Source organism: Homo sapiens, chromosome 12 (genome assembly GCF_000001405.40).
Source record: "Homo sapiens chromosome 12, GRCh38.p14 Primary Assembly".
NCBI lineage: Eukaryota > Metazoa > Chordata > Mammalia > Primates > Hominidae > Homo > Homo sapiens.
In genome coordinates, this window is record NC_000012.12 from 126300322 (window position 1) to 126302728 (window position 2407).

The following is a 2407-nucleotide window of genomic DNA, read 5'->3' on the forward strand; positions in this document are numbered from 1 at the left end:
TAGATATGCGGCATTATTTCTGAGGGCTCTGTTCTGTTCCATTGATCTATATCTCTGTTTTGGTACCAGTACCATGCTGTTTTGGTTACTGTAGCCTTGTAGTATAGTTTGAAGTCAGGTAGTGTGATGCCTCCAGCTTTGTTCTTTTGGCTTAGGATTGACTTGGCAATGCGGGCTCTTTTTTGGTTCCATATGAACTTTAAAGTAGTTTTTTCCAATTCTGTGAAGAAAGTCATTGGTAGCTTGATGGGGATGGCATTGAATCTGTAAATTACCTTGGGCAGTATGGCCATTTTCACGATATTGATTCTTCCTACCCATGAGCATGGAATGTTCTTCCATTTGTTTGTGTCCTCTTTTATTTCCTTGAGCAGTGGTTTGTAGTTCTCCTTGAAGAGGTCCTTCACATCCCTTGTAAGTTGGATTCCTAGGTATTTTATTCTCTTTGAAGCAATTGTGAATGGGAGTTCACCCATGATTTGGCTCTCTGTTTGTCTGTTGTTGGTGTATAAGAATGCTTGTGATTTTTGTACATTGATTTTGTATCCTGAGACTTTGCTGAAGTTGCTTATCAGCTTAAGGAGATTTTGGGCTGAGACGATGGGGTTTTCTAGATAAACAATCATGTCGTCTGCAAACAGGGACAATTTGACTTCCTCTTTTCCTAATTGAATACCCTTTATTTCCTTCTCCTGCCTGATTGCCCTGGCCAGAACTTCCAACACTATGTTGAATAGGAGCGGTGAGAGAGGGCATCCCTGTCTTGTGCCGGTTTTCAAAGGGAATGCTTCCAGTTTTTGCCCATTCAGTATGATATTGGCTGTGGGTTTGTCATAGATAGCTCTTATTATTTTGAAATACGTCCCATCAATACCTAATTTATTGAGAGTTTTTAGCATGAAGGGTTGTTGAATTTTGTCAAAGGCTTTTTCTGCATCTATTGAGATAATCATGTGGTTTTTGTCTTTGGCTCTGTTTATATGCTGGATTACATTTATTGATTTGCGTATATTGAACCAGCCTTGCATCCCAGGGATGAAGCCCACTTGATCATGGTGGATAAGCTTTTTGATGTGCTGCTGGATTCGGTTTGCCAGTATTTTATTGAGGATTTTTGCATCAATGTTCATCAAGGATATTGGTCTAAAATTCTCTTTTTTGGTTGTGTCTCTGCCAGGCTTTGGTATCAGAATGATGCTGGCCTCATAAAATGAGTTAGGGAGGATTCCCTCTTTTTCTATTGATTGGAATAGTTTCAGAAGGAATGGTACCAGTTCCTCCTTGTACCTCTGGTAGAATTCGGCTGTGAATCCATCTGGTCCTGGACTCTTTTTGGTTGGTAAACTATTGATTATTGCCACAATTTCAGAGCCTGTTATTGGTCGATTCAGAGATTCAACTTCTTCCTGGTTTAGTCTTGGGAGAGTGTATGTGTCGAGGAATGTATCCATTTCTTCTAGATTTTCTAGTTTATTTGCGTAGAGGTGTTTGTAGTATTCTCTGATGGTAGTTTGTATTTCTGTGGGATCGGTGGTGATATCCCCTTTATCATTTTTTATTGTGTCTATTTGATTCTTCTCTCTTTTTTTCTTTATTAGTCTTGCTAGCGGTCTATCAATTTTGTTGATCCTTTCAAAAAACCAGCTCCTGGATTCATTGATTTTTTGAAGGGTTTTTTGTGTCTCTATTTCCTTCAGTTCTGCTCTGATTTTAGTTATTTCTTGCCTTCTGCTAGCTTTTGAATGTGTTTGCTCTTGCTTTTCTAGTTCTTTTAATTGTGATGTTAGGGTGTCAATTTTGGATCTTTCCTGCTTTCTCTTGTAGGCATTTAGTGCTATAAATTTCCCTCTACACGCTGCTTTGAATGCGTCCCAGAGATTCTGGTATGTGGTGTCTTTGTTCTCGTTGGTTTCAAAGAACATCTTTATTTCTGCCTTCATTTCGTTATGTACCCAGTAGTCATTCAGGAGCAGGTTGTTCAGTTTCCATGTAGTTGAGCGGCTTTGAGTGAGATTCTTAATCCTGAGTTCTAGTTTGATTGCACTGTGGTCTGAGAGATAGTTTGTTATAGTTTCTGTTCTTTTACATTTGCTGAGGAGAGCTTTACTTCCCAGTATGTGGTCAATTTTGGAATAGGTGTGGTGTGGTGCTGAAAAAAATGTATATTCTGTTGATTTGGGGTGGAGAGTTCTGTAGATGTCTATTAGGTCTGCTTGGTGCAGAGCTGAGTTCAATTCCTGGGTATCCTTGTTGACTTTCTGTCTCGTTGATCTGTCTAATGTTGACAGTGGGGTGTTAAAGTCTCCCATTATTAATGTGTGGGAGTCTAAGTCTCTTTGTAGGTCACTGAGGACTTGCTTTATGAATCTGGGTGCTCCTGTATTGGGTGCATAAATATTTAGGATAG